We start from the raw sequence: 1,992 nt of genomic DNA, 5'->3' as shown, positions 1-1,992 counted from the left end.
AGCAGCTGGGAGTTCTTACTATTTGCTTGGTTGGCTGCCATGACCCACACCTCCCTGTATTTATTTCCTTGTGTAATTTAATCCCATGTTGGATCAGGGCTGGCCTACTGACTTGCTTTAGCTAGAAATGCAGAAGAAGTGAAGTCCAGGAAGCTTCTGCTTTTGTGCTCTTGCGAGCCCTGAGTAGTCATGTAAGAAATCCAACTATCCTCCTGGAGAGAGAGAGATCATGTGGAGGGGTACAGGGTGCAAGATATGTTAGTGAAGAGGTCAGCTTGGATGTTACAGCCCACAGAGTTGGCCTGTTTTGTTATCCACTGCCCTTGCTCAAATCTGAGGTTTCTCTCGCAAGAACTCAAATTGGGAGATCTGGGTTTGTTCTGACGAAAGGAGAAGGTAGGTTCTTATACAACATACATACCATTGCCCAGATACTTCCAAGAAAAGCCACGGATGGGCCAGATTCTGGTGGCTGGGCAGGGGGATTCAGAGTTCCATGTGCCCATCAGACATCACCTGCCTTGGTGCAGTCTGGGCATACTCAAAGCCCTGGCCTGCAGGAGAGCAATTATTATTATTATTATTTTGAGACAGAGTCTCACTCTGTTGCCAGGCTGGAGTCCAGTGGCACGATCTCGGCTTACTGCAACCTCTGCCTCCTGGGTTCAAATGATTCTCATGTCTCAGCCTCCCTAGTAGCTGGGATTATAGGTACGTGCCACCACACCCAGCTTTTTGTATTTTTAGTAGAAATGGGGTTTTATCATGTTGGCCAGGATGGTCTCGATCTCCTGACCTCATGATCCACCCGCCTCGAGCCCATGGACTTTCAGGATGTCGACAGCTGGAGTTACAGGCATGAGCCACTACACCCGGCCATGCTTTTAACCAGATTTGAACAAGAGAATGGCCACTTGGTCCAGGTAGAAGTAGATGAAGTGTTTGATTTCACGTGTCATGTAACTACCGAAGTTCCTCCCCACGATACAATGCCAGGTGGGATTGTTCTTCTTGTCAAATTCCTTCTTAAGATGAGCTGCAATATCCTTCTCTATGTTATATTTCTCCAGTGCCTGAATAGCGCACTCCACCGAGTCCTGTTGCATCTCTTCCGACATGTCTGCATTTTTGATCATGGTCTCTCGGTGGCACATGGTTACCGTGGAGAAGGGGGCTGGCCGACGGCAACAGTCTCCTGGGGGAGGTGCTAGCATTGCTCAGGCGGGGCTGGAGCTGCTGTCGCTACTGAAGCTGTGGCACATCTAATGGGAGGCACTATTTGTGCCACAGGAAGAACATCAGGTTTGAAGCCTCAAGGCTCAAGTTTAAGACCTGGCTATTTTACTTATCACTGGTGGAACCTTGGGCAAGGGCCTTAATCTTCTGAGTCTCATGGTTTTTTTTCATCTGTAAACTAAGGGTGGTCATAGTAACTTCCTCACAGAACAGTGGAATGGTGTAAATGAGATAGCATGTGTGGAAGCACTTCAAAAATGGTCAAGTACTCTCTCCATATGGCAACTGCCCTTATTTTGCCTCATTGTACAATGAGGAGCAGTGCATGAGCTCATCTACCAATGGTCTGTCTTTTATAACCTCCTCACTCTAGGAAACAAGATCGCTGAGGGGAAGCAGGTATCGTCACTGTCATTTTCACCTTCCCCATCATCGTCACCATCCCATCATGATAATTGTCATCATCACCATTATTGTTGTTATTGTCAGCATCATCATGGACCATTTCCTGAACATCTACCAAACTATACCCTTGTCATAGACTCGCACAGCAATCTTTCAGGTTGTGCTGATTATCAACCCTCTTTTACAGATGAGGAAACTGAGAATAATCTAGGGTAATCCACTTGCTCAAGATCAAACAGAAGAAACTTTGGCTCACTGGAAAATTTAAAACCAATTAAAGGGATGTTTGTTGTTGCATCCATCTTCCTCCTTTCCCCATCAACCTCAGAGAACTAACATCTTCTCTGACAT

The 1,992-nt window shown here is 46.4% G+C and overlaps 1 pseudogene; it reads right to left on the bottom strand.

The window, feature by feature from the left end:
* Positions 877-1,264, bottom strand: DYNLL1P3 (dynein light chain LC8-type 1 pseudogene 3; annotated as a pseudogene).

The sequence above is a fragment of the Homo sapiens genome, chromosome 1 (genome assembly GCF_000001405.40).
Source record: "Homo sapiens chromosome 1, GRCh38.p14 Primary Assembly".
Taxonomy (NCBI): Eukaryota; Metazoa; Chordata; class Mammalia; order Primates; family Hominidae; genus Homo; species Homo sapiens.
The sequence above is the reverse complement of the archived record's forward strand: the minus strand, read 5'-3'. Positions and strand labels throughout refer to the sequence as shown.